At 39.0% G+C, this 13,742-nt stretch overlaps 1 long non-coding RNA gene across 1 annotated transcript in view, besides 2 other annotated features; it reads right to left on the minus strand.

Annotated features, from left to right (window-relative positions):
* LOC105374974 (uncharacterized) overlaps positions 1-3,592 on the minus strand; it is a 120,749-nt gene extending 117,157 nt beyond the window's left edge. Inside the window, exons 1-2 of the long non-coding RNA XR_926583.3 lie at positions 3,461-3,592; positions 1,801-1,886 (exon numbers count right to left, since the gene is read on the minus strand). This is a non-coding gene — a long non-coding RNA (uncharacterized LOC105374974). The remainder of the gene's footprint in view (positions 1-1,800; positions 1,887-3,460) is intronic.
* Positions 1,442-2,641: an enhancer, noted in NCBI's record as "P300/CBP strongly-dependent group 1 enhancer chr6:23175123-23176322 (GRCh37/hg19 assembly coordinates)". NCBI's record gives its function as "activates an origin of replication core promoter dependent on BRD2, BRD4, P300/CBP, MED14 and CDK7 cofactors, with strong dependence on P300/CBP, by STARR-seq in HCT116 cells {active_cell/tissue: HCT116}" and the evidence as "EXISTENCE:reporter gene assay evidence [ECO:0000049][PMID:35650434]".
* Positions 6,331-8,505: an enhancer, noted in NCBI's record as "VISTA enhancer hs1352". NCBI's record gives its function as "enhancer in: neural tube[5/7] | hindbrain (rhombencephalon)[5/7] | midbrain (mesencephalon)[7/7] | forebrain[3/7]" and the evidence as "EXISTENCE:transgenic organism evidence [ECO:0001131][PMID:17130149]".

Consider the following 13,742-nt stretch of genomic DNA (forward strand, 5'->3'; position numbering starts at 1 on the left):
TGTCAGCCCACCTATGATTCTTTCCCTCAATAGTAAAGCAGGTCCTGACTGTAACAGCAGCTGAATCAAGACTGCACATTTTTTTACACTTGTAGACCGACCCTCCCTCTCTAGCAGTACGGCCAGCCAGTGCCTCCTTCTCAGAAGTGGAAAAGGCCGGGTCCCAGTCCTGGGAGCTCTTCCTCTGAGCTCAGAGACACCAGCACAAGATGAGCAGCTCCTTCTCCTCAGAAGGCTGAGTTTCTACTCCACAGGGCTTCTCCTCTAAGCTTCCATGTTGTTATAATTCCAGACTTTTCCTTTCTTTTTGTAGCCCTAGAAATGGAGGCTTTGTCCTGCAATACTATCTCCGTTACACCTTAGTATTCTTTTCTGGTCTTTTGAGTTCTTTATTAAACCATTTTATACTCAGTGAACAATCCTTGCATTGAGTAATTTCTGTTTAAGTAATAGGTATATTTTTTGTCCCTTGATTGGACCCTGAGTGATAGGAAGGAAGAAATGAAAGAACAGATAATCCAATGCTTCTGATATATAATCTATTATTAGATTATATCTGGGTTAGAATTATAAGCAAGATATGTTCCAAGCACAAATAGGCATTAGTTGAAGTCTAAGAAATAGATTCACAATGATTCAGAAAAAGTTTTCTGAATATGTAGGTACAATAAGTCTGATGTAAAACATTTACTTAGAAATGAATAAGCTTTGTTGACTGCCAGTTTCCCACTTCTCAGGGCTGTTTTTTTTTTTTTTCTCTCTCCCTCTGAATTTAAAGTAATAATCCTCCAGATAATCTGTACCAGTGATTCTCAATGACTCTGGGAGAAATGTAATAGAAAGTGGGTTTAAATCATGTATTGCAAAACACATATAGAGTTGAAATTTATTGTCCAAATTGTATTAGTCTTGTTTTCACACTGCTATAATGAACTACCTGAGACTAGGTAATTCATAAAGAAAAGAGGTTTAATGGACACACAGTTCTACATGGCTGGGGAGGCCTCAGGAAACTTACAATCATGGCAGAAGGCAAAGAGAAGAAAAGTATATCTTACGTAGCAGCAGGGGGTGGTGGGGGAACTTCCACACACTTTTAAACCATTAGATCTCAGGAGAACTCACTAACAGGAGCACAGCAAGGGGAAACAACCCGTATGATCCAATCACCTCCCACCAGGTCCCTCCCTTGACACATGAGGATTACAATTCAAGATGAGATTTGGGTGGAACATGAAGCCAAATCACATCAAAATTTTCTCCATACATGGAATCAGATCTGGTAGAAACCTGGCTACCCTCCACATTACTGATGTGTTACAATGGCATCAGTAGACACACAAGAGCGTTCTCACAAACAGGCTTACGAATTTGTGCTATTTATTATGAAATGTGGCATAGGATAGATTTTATTATGGTAGTTGGATTAGTCACGATAGCCTAGCTTTGCAGCAGTAACAGGCATAAAAGTTTATTTTTCACTCACATAGTATTTATTGTGGGGTCAGTGGTTCTGTAAGGAATTTATTTTCAGTGACTCAGAGATCTAAGTTACTTTCCCTCCTGTGATTTCATGATCTCTTTCTCCATGACAGCAAAAGAGAAAGCGAGAGAGTTTCAATGTAGTTCTTTAGTGATTCAACCCATCAGAGAGACATATCACTTCCAATCACAGCCATCTGTCAGATAATGTATTCACACCATCCAGTCTAACTTAAAGGTAGTGGAAAAAGTGGAGGGAACACATTGATATTCAATGACCAGTAAACGCCTCTGCTACATTAGTCATCATTGACTCACCATAAGATGCGTGATTCTGCCGTAGTGATGAATTTCAGGATCTGTAGAAATCTTAGGGCATATACTTCTTAAATGTCAAAGGTCTACTGAAAAGAGAGGAGGGATTTTTGTCATGAGTAGGAGAGTTGTTGAAAAAGAAGGGCCTTTCTCACCAAACCCATTTTATTTTCTAATCGGACAATCTTACAATGACAGATATTTTTCCACACCTAAATTATTAGCACTCTAGCAGATGTTGCCAAAAAAGGTTTAATTTTAAGCTGTAAAATACAACTATAGCATTGCATTAGATGTGACAATTAAAATGCATCTGGGTGATGCAATGAAACTTTCACAATGATCTTAATGAGAGCTGAGGTCATACATGAAGCCTGATTTCTCATGTGTGGTGTAATTGTACAAAAGTATTGTTAAAAAAAATCCTAAACGTGGCAGTTTTTCAGAGGAGACAATTGTGAGGTTTCAGACATTTTATCAAAACAACAGCCATAAATAAAACACCCCACTTCTTAGCAAGCAGTGTTAGTTGAATGACTTTCACAAATGTTTGCTTGTTCCCCTTAGAAGGTCATTCTTTTAAATAGTGCTATTGACAATCACACTCATTCTGGAACATGTATGATAAATTTAGGGCAGATTAATTTCAGGAGAAGCACTCTCACAGATAAGGAGCTAATAGATGGGGAGTATAGTTGACTATAATATACAGTCAAGTGCCGGGCTGTGTATAAAATTAAGCAGTATTTCTTTTGTGAAGTGCTCACACTTTGAATTGATTTTTGTCATTGGTTGGGTTTCACAAGACCCCTGTGTTCCAATATTTCTTTTACTTTTCATCAGGCATAAGAGCTCTGTGTGCCCATAGCAAACAGTCATTGTTTTCATTTGTAGCAAATTACTAAGATAAAAATGCAATTAATTGCCCTCTGGATCTCTGCTTACTATGCTGTAAATTAAACTAAATGACAGAGTTGCAACTATTAGAACCGGAAAGAACCTCATGGTTATCTATCTCCTGCTCAGTTTTTTCATTTAACCAATGAGAAAACAGCCCCTGATGAAATGACCTGGCTTGCAGCTTGGCTGGTCACTTAGCCTGCACTTACTATCCTTATTGTAAGAACTCTTTTCTTGCATAATTCTCAGAATTGCTGTAAGAATCAAATTAACTACTGTATGCAATTTTTTGAAAACAGTAAAACTCAATAACAGTAATGATTATAAAGATAGCATTTACTGAGCAGCTAGTATGAACCGGGCAATACGATTTACATATATGACCTCACAAATCATTATAACCCTATCAGGAAGGTACACTTATTATTTCAGTTAAAAAATAAACAGGGTCGGAGATTTCTCGGGCATAAGCTAGCCAGTAGGGGAGCTGGGAGTTAGGGGAGGGATTTCAACAGTACACGGAAGGATTCACAGCCCGTTTTGAAACGGAGCCCATACTGCACCACAATGTTCTTACTCACAGTACAAGGTTTTCCCAGTTATAAATTTGTTTCATAGAGTTTTTTAGAAGCTGAAAAACATTGAAACTGCCTATTCCTTTCTAGGCTTAATTTTGATGCATTTACACCTTTCGTGTTGAAGTTTTAACAAGGAATGGAAAATAAGCAGCTTTCCGACAGTACCATAGATATTTTCAGCTCACCCCTTGGTTTCCTATTTGCCGCATGTTTTGCCAATGGAGCCTCGAAGTGTCCAGTGCTATCATATCCACATAAATCTCTCATCACTCTGCGTTCTGCTTCCTTGTTGCCATAAGCAGGAAGCTGTAAACACTACGTCAGGAATGCAGACGATAACCCAATGATCATGGAATGGCGTCTGCGCATGTGCCGTTGTGTACATGTGCCCGGCAATGTTAAAATGCTGCCACCTTCTGTTTAGCCCAGGTGCTGCTGATGCAACCCACCGCTTCCCCTGTCCTCTAAGCTGATTTGTACTGATCCTGAATTGTACTTCTGCAATATATAATATGACAAGGAAAATGCAAAGCCTGCCAAAAAATCTTGATAGTCCCAGCTTTTGTACTGCAGCACTTGAGAAGACCATTCCTACTGCCGTCCCACTAAAGTGCACTCAATATTTCTGACAGTAAATTATCACAGCAGGAGTTTATCTCAGCATTCATGTGGTGTTTTAACCATTTAAGGATTCAAGAGGGGAAAGTTAAACAGGGTGGGGCTAATGTTCAATTGTTCGGGTGGTCGTGGGTTACACTCAGGTTTCCTGAATGTTGCAAGGGGTCTAGGTTTATTCTCGGGTGCGTTTTCTGCTGAGACACTCACAAGAAATGAAACAGACTGGGCAGGATCATCAATTTGTGAGGGAAGAACACCAGCACCTGCACTGTTGTCCAACTGTAGGAGTTGCACTGAAGGGTTAGTGTGTACCTGACCCCACCAAGCTGGGACTCTGGCAGCTGGCACATCAAGGACAATCACCTCTTTCTTATCAGCAGTAAGCTATTTTTCCCCCAGGACAGGAAGCTTATAACAGTTACTGACACCATAGAGTGATTCCCTAGATCTGGAACTTGCCAGCCTAAAACACTAGCCCGAGACTCTCCCCATAAAATGAGAACAGGGTTGCATTTTATCTCAGTCCCACAGCACTACCAAATTAGCTTTGCCCAGGACCATTTTAATAACTAGCACATGACCACCCCATCCATGTGTGTACACTTAGGTCTGGAGAGTAGGGTCTCCTTATATCATTAAAATACCAGGATTGTTTAGTAAAGCTGGAAAGCAGGAATGGAAAATAGTTTTAGAGGCCAAAACTGTCTAGTTAAGTGCTTGTTGACCAAATTTTTATTGCCTAAGAACCTTATGCCTTATATACCTATGATTACACTCAAATCCTCTCTTGAGTCTGAAATGTATGTATATATACATATTATTATATTATATATACACATTATGTTATATATACACAATATATATTATACATACACATTATAATATATATACACATACACATGAGAGTCAAAGGAATCTGGTTTTACATCTTGTTATTGGATACAAGAAACAAATAAAATATATATTATTTCCTTCTAAATTGGAAGCTATTTTTTTTAAATGCCTAATTTCTCAATTTTTCTTGCCAGTACAAATAATATTCTTAATTCCCTTATTTACTTCACATATGCATCATTTTTCTAGAAATGCTTCTCTATATTTTAAGAGCTTTGCTTATATTAGATGCTTAACATCAGTTGAAGACAATCTTACTGCTCTTGGACTTTATAAATCCTGAAACTAATTACTAATTTAATAGCAAATAATTTCCAACATAGATGAACAAGCCAGATTTTCATAGTTTTAAGAAAGAATTCTGTGTCCAGGGAAAATTAATATGTAAGTATAAGGATTCTATGTAACCACCCATATAGACAGCAGTCCTCTCCCAGCCCTGGTTGAAATGATGTCAGCAGAGAGCTTCCTGCAGGGCAATCTCTGTACTTTTCAGTATGGTCCAGAGCCAGGCACCTACAATGAGTCAGACACCGAAAACGACCCTGACTTAGTAAATCTCAGGTGGGTCTAATGTAACAACAATTCAGGTAAGGACAATTTCCACACTCTTTGCTACCCAGACTCCCGTGCCTTTTAGTAAAATTTACATCTTCAATTTTTTTGAGTTGATCAAATACAAGCATGACTTCCCAGTGCTCTGATTTACTCACATATTCTTTAACAACAAACTGCTTTCTCCTGATAACTGAGCTTCATAATATCATTCCATTTAATATTTATAAATAAATATTTATTTACTATGTATTTACATGATTAGATATATACTTATAACATATGTATTTAATCTGTGTCCTCAGAATCACACAACCTGGAACTCTAGTACCTTTTTGACAATCTTGCACTGTATCTAAATGATACAATTAAAAGGGAGCTGAGAAAGACATATTATTTGTCAGATTTGCCAAGGCAGGAAGGAATGAATTTCCTTTAAATCAGATTCAGAGAAACGAGTTGTTTTAAAGCTAAATTGGGCAAGGGAGATCTTGATCCCTTTGGTAAATATTAGCACTTTGGTAAATATTCTTAACAGACATCCATCCAATGCCATAATTATTGAAGAAACTGCAGTGCAGAGAATGACTTGGCCAAGATGAGAGAGCTAGTTTAGTTAGAAATAAACCTAGAACCAAGTCTACTGGCTGACACCCCCGCTCTCTTTCAACTGCATCATCAATTCTCATGTTGGAGTGCATAAGAGTCACCTATGGAATATGGTTCCAAGGTCGACACAAGCCCACACTAAGGGAGTGAGGGTCCTTAGGTCTCACATGGACTCTACCAATCTGTATTTTTAATGAGTTCTCTAGGTGATCATGATGCAGGTTGCCTGAGCATGATTCTTTGAGAAAAGCTATATTACTTCATGCAGTAGCTTCCTATTTATTTTTATAGAAAGATTTCTGGACTCTTAACTGAGACATTATCCAAATGTCTAATCAAGGGCTCACCAAGTTGAATGGGCTAATATAAGAGTTAGTCTCCTCCCTGTTCCTCTACACCCAGACTATTTAGGCTTATTTATGGGTAGAAGAATTGGTTAACAACAATAAGAAAAAGCCTAAATTTCACCTGTGTTCAATTCCGACCTACATACTCACCCACAGCCTCTTCCTAGTAGGACAAGATCTAGCCAACGCCTCCCTTTTCTCATTGGTCTCTCTGAAAACTTTAAACCTTCAAGAAAAATTACAAATATTTTCTTTCTACAGAGCGTTCTCATTTCTAAATCAATCTAAACACTTTGGTAAATATTCTTAACAGACATCCATCCAAGGTTCCTCTTATCAGGGTCATAAAAAAGTGCAGATGACGAAACAGAGAAATTGGATTAAATTACAGGAATGGACTCAATGGAGTCACAATTGGAGGTTTTGTCGATTCTGGAGGCCCTGCTACTTTCCTGCTGCATTATCTCTCCCATAAAGTACCAGGAAAGAATTAACTAAATCATAAAAACCATTATGTTCTTTAGCCACTGGCAGACTTTCTTCCACTAGAATTGAACTCCCAGATATGAGGCAAAGCACAGCTGAATAGGAGCTACCTGAATGTCTGCCCCTTTCTCCCACCCCCAGCAAGCTGCAGGCGCCAGACAAGACAGATAAAAGTAAAATAGATGCACTTCTTTTTCTTTCTGTGGCAGACAAGGAGCTGTGGCTAGCCTCTCCATTAAAAGTCAGAGAAAAGGTAGATTCGTCCTATTTGATTAAGACTGTCACCGTCCACAGTCGTTGCAATTAGTCCATGCCAGCCTTATTCAGACCTTGGATTCTTTTCAGAAGTGAAAAAGGGAACACTCAAGGTCTATTGAATCGGAGCGTGGCATCTGCCTCACACCGAGGGGAGAGGTCGGGGTCACTGCTTGATTTTGATAAAGCGTGCCAGATTAATTGTCTTCGGTAATCCTGTTTGTCATGGTAGATATGCAGAAGAGTCTTTGTGGCACAGGCTGACATATGGGCCGGCCTGCTGCTTGCCTATTCAGGGTTCCCAACACATGCTCTCTGCAGTTGGACTGGTTCCCAGAACCTTGTTCGCCAGAAGAGGCCTCCTGCTCCTATTAAGCAGGCCCCATCTCCACCACCAGGCTTCCTAATCTTCAAGCCTGCCTGGGCTATTGAAAGAGGCTGCATTATTCAAAAGAGGCCTAAAGAGAAAAGGGGAGAGAAGGGGGCTGGGGAGGAAAGAGAGAAGGGGAGCAAGGGGGAGGGAGAAATGCAGGCACCAGAGATAGGAGTGAAAGACTCTCCAGACTGGGGAAGGGGGTGGGGACAGAAAAATATAATTACAAAAAATAGCAGCCATGTCCTTCAGGCAGAGCACTTCAGGAGGCTGATTATAGCTCCTCTCCAAATCCGAATCTATCACCAAATTATACCCTGCCTCTTTTGTAAAATAAATGTTAATAAGAGGTAATTTGGGCCCTGCTGATTGTTAAACTCAACGGAGATAGAATTTTTTTTCTTCCTCTGTGTGTGTTTATTGTAATATCTGGAGGGCTTTTTTTTTTCTCTTCTTCCAACAAGAATTTATATTCAACCACAAAAGAGGAAACAAACATTCATTGGCCTGACACAACTGCCAGAAAACCGAGAATGGTTTGAGTTTTACAATAAAGAGTGAATGTATAGACTGGTAACTGGCCCTTAACTCCACTACAACTTTGCAGTTGGTGTTCTCTGGAAGGAATATCCCCTAGAACTGAGAAGAGAGTGGCGCTCCAGGAAGAAGGAGGCTGCCAGGGGGAGGAGTGATCCTTGCTCTAAATAGCTTTGCCTTTCTTTGGTTAAAAGCAGGACTTTTTTTTTCATTTACATAATCATTATTTTGAGTTGCTGCCAATTCTTTTGGGGGCTTTTACATTTAAAAGCACAAAAAATAGAGAATCCTGTGACAGATCTTTTGAAAATGTTCTTACAATGTGTATTTACGAACAGATCCAGAAATGGAGCAATTAGAAACAATGAATGATAATCTTCTAGGCAGACAAAAGCATGGATGTATTAAAATATAAATCCTTGATCATAACAGCCCTGAAGCAGTCCTTCATGTATCTTTACTGTGTGCTCCTCACAGCCACAGGGCAGAGATCGGGTGTCCGACTGGGCCCAGGCGCTGTGGCCGTCAAGGTCAGTAATGTCTGACCACAGAGGGCTTGGTCTCCAGTTGTTTTTGTTTCTTACACAAATGCTTTGAACATGATTTATTCTGATAATTGTATAATAAGAAACAACATCATTATCTATCATTAGTTTCAAGGAGGACATAACAGATTTTCAAAATTAAAACTAAAAACTGAACTAAGAAGACATCATTCAATTATTTCTTTATTCTAGATATTAAAATGAAAAGCTTGTGTTTTGGGTTTTGGTTTTGTCACCCTCCTCAAATAGGTAACTACAATATACTTTTTGGTTTGGGGGGATATATATTTCCACATTTATTTCCTACAATGAAACAGTCACTGGGCTCAGAGCTGGGCGTGTCACAGGGATAGCAAAAAAGAGTCCCTGTGTTTGCAGAGTTTATGTTCTGTGAGGGTTCACTCTTGTTTCATCAGTGCATAAAACAGTGCCAGGCATATTCTGTTAACTCATTAAATTTTATTCATTCAAAAATTTTTAAAAAATAAATAAATAACAAAAACCAAACCAAAGCAAAAAAAACTTGACATATCTAAGGTAAGCAACTTGGCTTAACTTATGCATTACATTATAAAGAACCCGAAGAAGCAGAAAGGGAAGAAGAAAAAGAGTAGAACAAAGAGAAATAAATTAACATTTTTGAGTACATAGTCTATGCTAGGTATGTGCCATGTGCTTTAAAAGCATTATCTCCTGTAATCTTTAAAAGAGCCTTGTGGAAGGGGAGAGGAGACATTCTGCTAGTGCCCTCTGGTGCCTTCGTATTAGTTGTATGATTAAAGTCACCTGATTACTCCTTAAAATTGGTTGTAGCTGATGGCCAAGCATGGTTCACTTCTGCGGGTGAGGCCAGGGCCTTAGTAGTGTTTAAGGCTTCCCAGGTGATTCTAATGAGCATCCAAGAATGAGAATCACTGATTTTAACTTGTGTTTCTCAAATGTTATTCATACCCACCTGGGAACATTGTTAGGTTGATTTTTGGCGGGTCCTAGGATTCTATAGTTCTAACAAGTGCCCAGGTGATGCTGATATTGGCTGGTTTCTGAACCTCCTTTTGAGTTGCAAGGCTTTAAAGAGATTGGGCAATCTGCCCAATGGCTGGCCCGAATTTCAAACCCTGGCTTTCCCAACTGAAGATCCTGAGCTCTCGAGTTCTGTGATTTCACTGTGTCTCCTACAGATTTAAATCAAGCATTATGAAGCACCGTGTGATAGGGAGAACATTCATCTGCAGGTCAGGAAGTCTGGAGCTTCATTATAGTTCTACTGCCCCTAACTTTGGGTCTTGCCTCCCTGAGTTTCAGGTTTTTTCTCTCTAACATATAGGGTTTGGAATTGATTGTAGTTGCTGTCCTTGGATTCTCCACATCACCAGTTAAATGGTGTGTCTGAGATCAGACCTTTCCTATAGGGAAAAATGTCACTTTAGGCAAAGCCAGTAACCTTCCTTCCTCCCTTCCTTCCTTCCAGCCACTCATGCTGTGGGTTGTCCATAGACAGACTGGTCAGGAGGATGGAGAACTGTCGCTTTATGCCTTTCTGCCTGCCTGCCTCCCTCCCTCCCTCCCTTCCTCCCTTCTTCCCTTCCTTCGAGTGTATGTGTTTCATTATCTGTTTGCTAAGGTGTGAAAGAAAGAAAGAAAGAAAGATAAATAGAGGAAGCATTGGTGCTATTGAAAAGGGTCCTGTTGGATATCATCTCCAGAACAATCCCATATATCTCTTCCTTCCCTTTTCCGTATTTTTTATACTACTGCTACTACTTGGGCATTTATTCATCAAAGGAAACAGATTCAAGGGGAAATCACTGAGGATATTATTTACACTTTAACATGATATGTGCTTCCAGAATGCTTTGAGGCAATTTGGATAGGGGTTGGAGAAAGGACGAACATACAAATCAGGGCACTACGAAGCAAGAGGTACAATACCTAGATGGCTGAAGCACATAGAAAACTGATTCAGGAAGAGATAAATAGCATACCTTACTGTCCTTCCAGGTGGGATTTCTGGGGAGATCTGTTTCAGAGTCTTACAGCTTTTCAGAGATTGGCACTGGGAGATTTCCCCTGAAGAGAATGGAAAACGACCAACATTTAACTAGCATCTTCTTCCGTCACGTTGGGATGCCCTGAGCCAAACCCCTTTAAACCTGCGTGATTAGGCTCGGTGGGAGCCAGGTGCACTCCTCTGTTCATCAGGAGAACAGAGGCAAATCCTGCCCATCTTCCTCGCATCCATTGTATGCAATTACAACACAAAAGCATACCTGTGAATTCCTAAAATAAGTTGGTGTAGGACCCTTGTCTTCTATACCTGGGCTGTAGGAATGAGGTAGAAACTAGGCTTTGTATATTTCAAGAGAACCATAGACCCAAGTAAGCAACAGTGTCTTTGTTTTATTACTTCTAAATTTACTTTTATTTGACTTATTTATGGCTTCATTTCTTTTCTTTAAATTAGCCAAAAGGCTTCTTTGTGGATTTTCCAGTCAGTTTGACAAGTTCGCCTCAGAAAATGCCTGAAAAATAAGTTGTGGTAAAGCAGCAGCCTTCTATCCTAAACACGCCCTGTCAAACAGACATGTATTTAGACCCAGCTTTCACATGTCACTTTATGTCTACTCCAGATCAAGTTATAGGCTTGCTCACAATGCTTTTGCCAAATTTTACAAGGTCAAAAATTATGTGATGGGGGAAAAACCGCTCAAGGGAAACAGGAGGAGTAAATCATGTTTTATTTAAAGGGTAGCTTTCTTTGAATAAAGCATTATTCCTTTCAAGGCTGTCTCTAATGTTGAAGTTTAAGGAGTCTTGAAGCTTAGAGAAACTTTGCTCATCTATTTAGCCCTCCCCAGTGGGTGAAGGACTCTTATGCCGGTTTTAATGCTTTCTGCCAACTCAATAACACTCAGCCCCCTAATAGCCACTCATGCTGCGGGTTGTCCATAGAGACTGGTCAGGAGGACAGAGAACTGTATCATTCAGCCAGATTACATATATAAGATTTGTACGATGGATTATCCTGAGATAATACTGATAAACAATTATTGCCTCTGCCAAACAATAGCACAAATGGAGACACCACTTGATATCCACCCTCACTCCATGGGATTATTTAAAAGCAGGTTAAGGAAAGAAGTCTTTCTTCTGTCTGTGATGTACATCTCGCTCTAGGGAAAAGACAATGAATCATGTTTAACTATTTTAAAATCTTCTAGGTCTGGGCCTGCCCACCAGCAGTTTCCCAATATGCTTTCACAGTAATCTAGCCTCTTGGAAATGTAAGGACTCTAGAAAGATAAAAAGTAATGGTTTGCCTTATTCTGCTGTGCAACTTTTTTTATCAGGTCTGGAGGTTTCGGGCATTTTTGAGTTATTTAATCCGAGTATGGACTCTTTGCTTCCTATTTTCATTTGTTGCCCTACCTATCCCAAGATCCCTTAGCCATTATCATTAAAACAAATAGTAGAGAATATTATGAGGGGTTATTACCTGCTCAGTTTAATTTCTCACTTTATACCAACTCCAAATTTCACAGGTAGATGCTACCATTTCCTCCACTTCTAGAGGAAGATATTGAGGTTTAGAACAACTTGTTCACGGTCCCACAAGCTACTCTATGGTATTCAGATTTCAAGTCTATTCTTTACCATGGTATAGCTGAGACACAAAGAATCAAATAAGCACTAATAGGACACTTGCAAATATAATGCAAGACACTGGGCATATATAGATACTTAAAATATATATTTAGTCTCTGCCCTCAAAATGCTAGACTCAAAATAGAGCAATATGATAGAAAAATAAAATCTCAAATAATACTACAAAAATTCATTTTAAAATAGGGAAATAAAAGATATTCCCTAAATCACAAGGACATTCTGATAAAATGTCAATAAATGATGTGTCTAAGTACTATCAATTAAGGGAAATAATTTAGAATCTAGGAGCAGAGATAACAGGAACATTGGAGATTCCATTTTGTTGAGTTGAAGGTTCACATTACTCTGTTTATTTTTTCATATAAATATTTAAATATATTGTATCTTTTTTTTTAATTGATCTGGGTATATAGGCTTCTCTGAAGCACTAAAAGCTAAGCTGCTAAGTGAATACCTTGCTAACGGAATTTCCAATGATATAGGCAACTTGTTCTTCTGGGGTAACTGAGTAGAGTCTGATGTGCCAGGTTGTTTGTATAATAGAGTACTGGAGTTTTAGAATTGATTATGAAAAAATACCTAGCACTTGAGATTACGAAAAGGTAGTAATAAACAATATACAATTGGTTTATATGGACTGTGTTACAAGGCATAATTCTAAGAGACTCACGTGTTTCCATCCACTTAAATCCCGTAAGAACTCTTATGATACATAATTCTGGCTGGATTGACTGGGCATTCACCAAAATTGATTTCTTTTCATCCGTGTATATCACAGCCTATCTTGTAATTACCTATGGCTTTTTGACTGACTTTTGACTAATGTAATGTGGATAGATGTGCATCACCTATTTTCAGTCCAGGCCCAGTTACACTTTTCATGCACACTCTGCCAAGCTCTTTCCTATTTCCATCTGGCTGAAATCCAGATGGTTCCCCCCACCACACACACACACACACACACACACACAAACACACACACACACAATGGTGTCTTTGGAATGGACATACCGAAGAAGATGGAGCCACAAGATAGAAGGAGCCCACTTGAAGGAGAGCCATTCAACCTGGAACATACCTTAGAATATAGGGAAATTAAAAAGATTTTTATTTGGTTTAGCCACTGACATTTTGAGATTTACCTCTCATGACACCAAGCCTACCTTACAACATACATTGTTATTATTATTTCTCCCATTTTACAGATGAGAAACTGAGGCTCAGAAAGGTTAGGTAACTTGCTTAGATTCTCTTGGGGAAACCAAGATTGTAACCCAGGCAATCTGACTCCATACCCTAAATACTTACCCATTATACTAAACTGCAACGTAACTAATTATGTTCTTCTTAGATTTGACATTAGTTTCACTTCTGGCTAAAACTAAGTTGGTAATGATAGTGTACAAAATATTCCCTACTATATTTTTAGAATAAACAAGCTTCCTTGAGCCAAAGAAAATTTCAAGCATCAGTTAGGAGTTACAAAAAGGATGCTAATTTTCATTTTTATAACTTTGTCTCTGTAGAGTACTCTGTAGTGCTGAATGTTTGTACTAGTTTTAGGTTTGGGAGCATGTCCTAA

The sequence above is a fragment of the Homo sapiens genome, chromosome 6 (genome assembly GCF_000001405.40).
Source record: "Homo sapiens chromosome 6, GRCh38.p14 Primary Assembly".
NCBI classification, from domain to species: domain Eukaryota; kingdom Metazoa; phylum Chordata; class Mammalia; order Primates; family Hominidae; genus Homo; species Homo sapiens.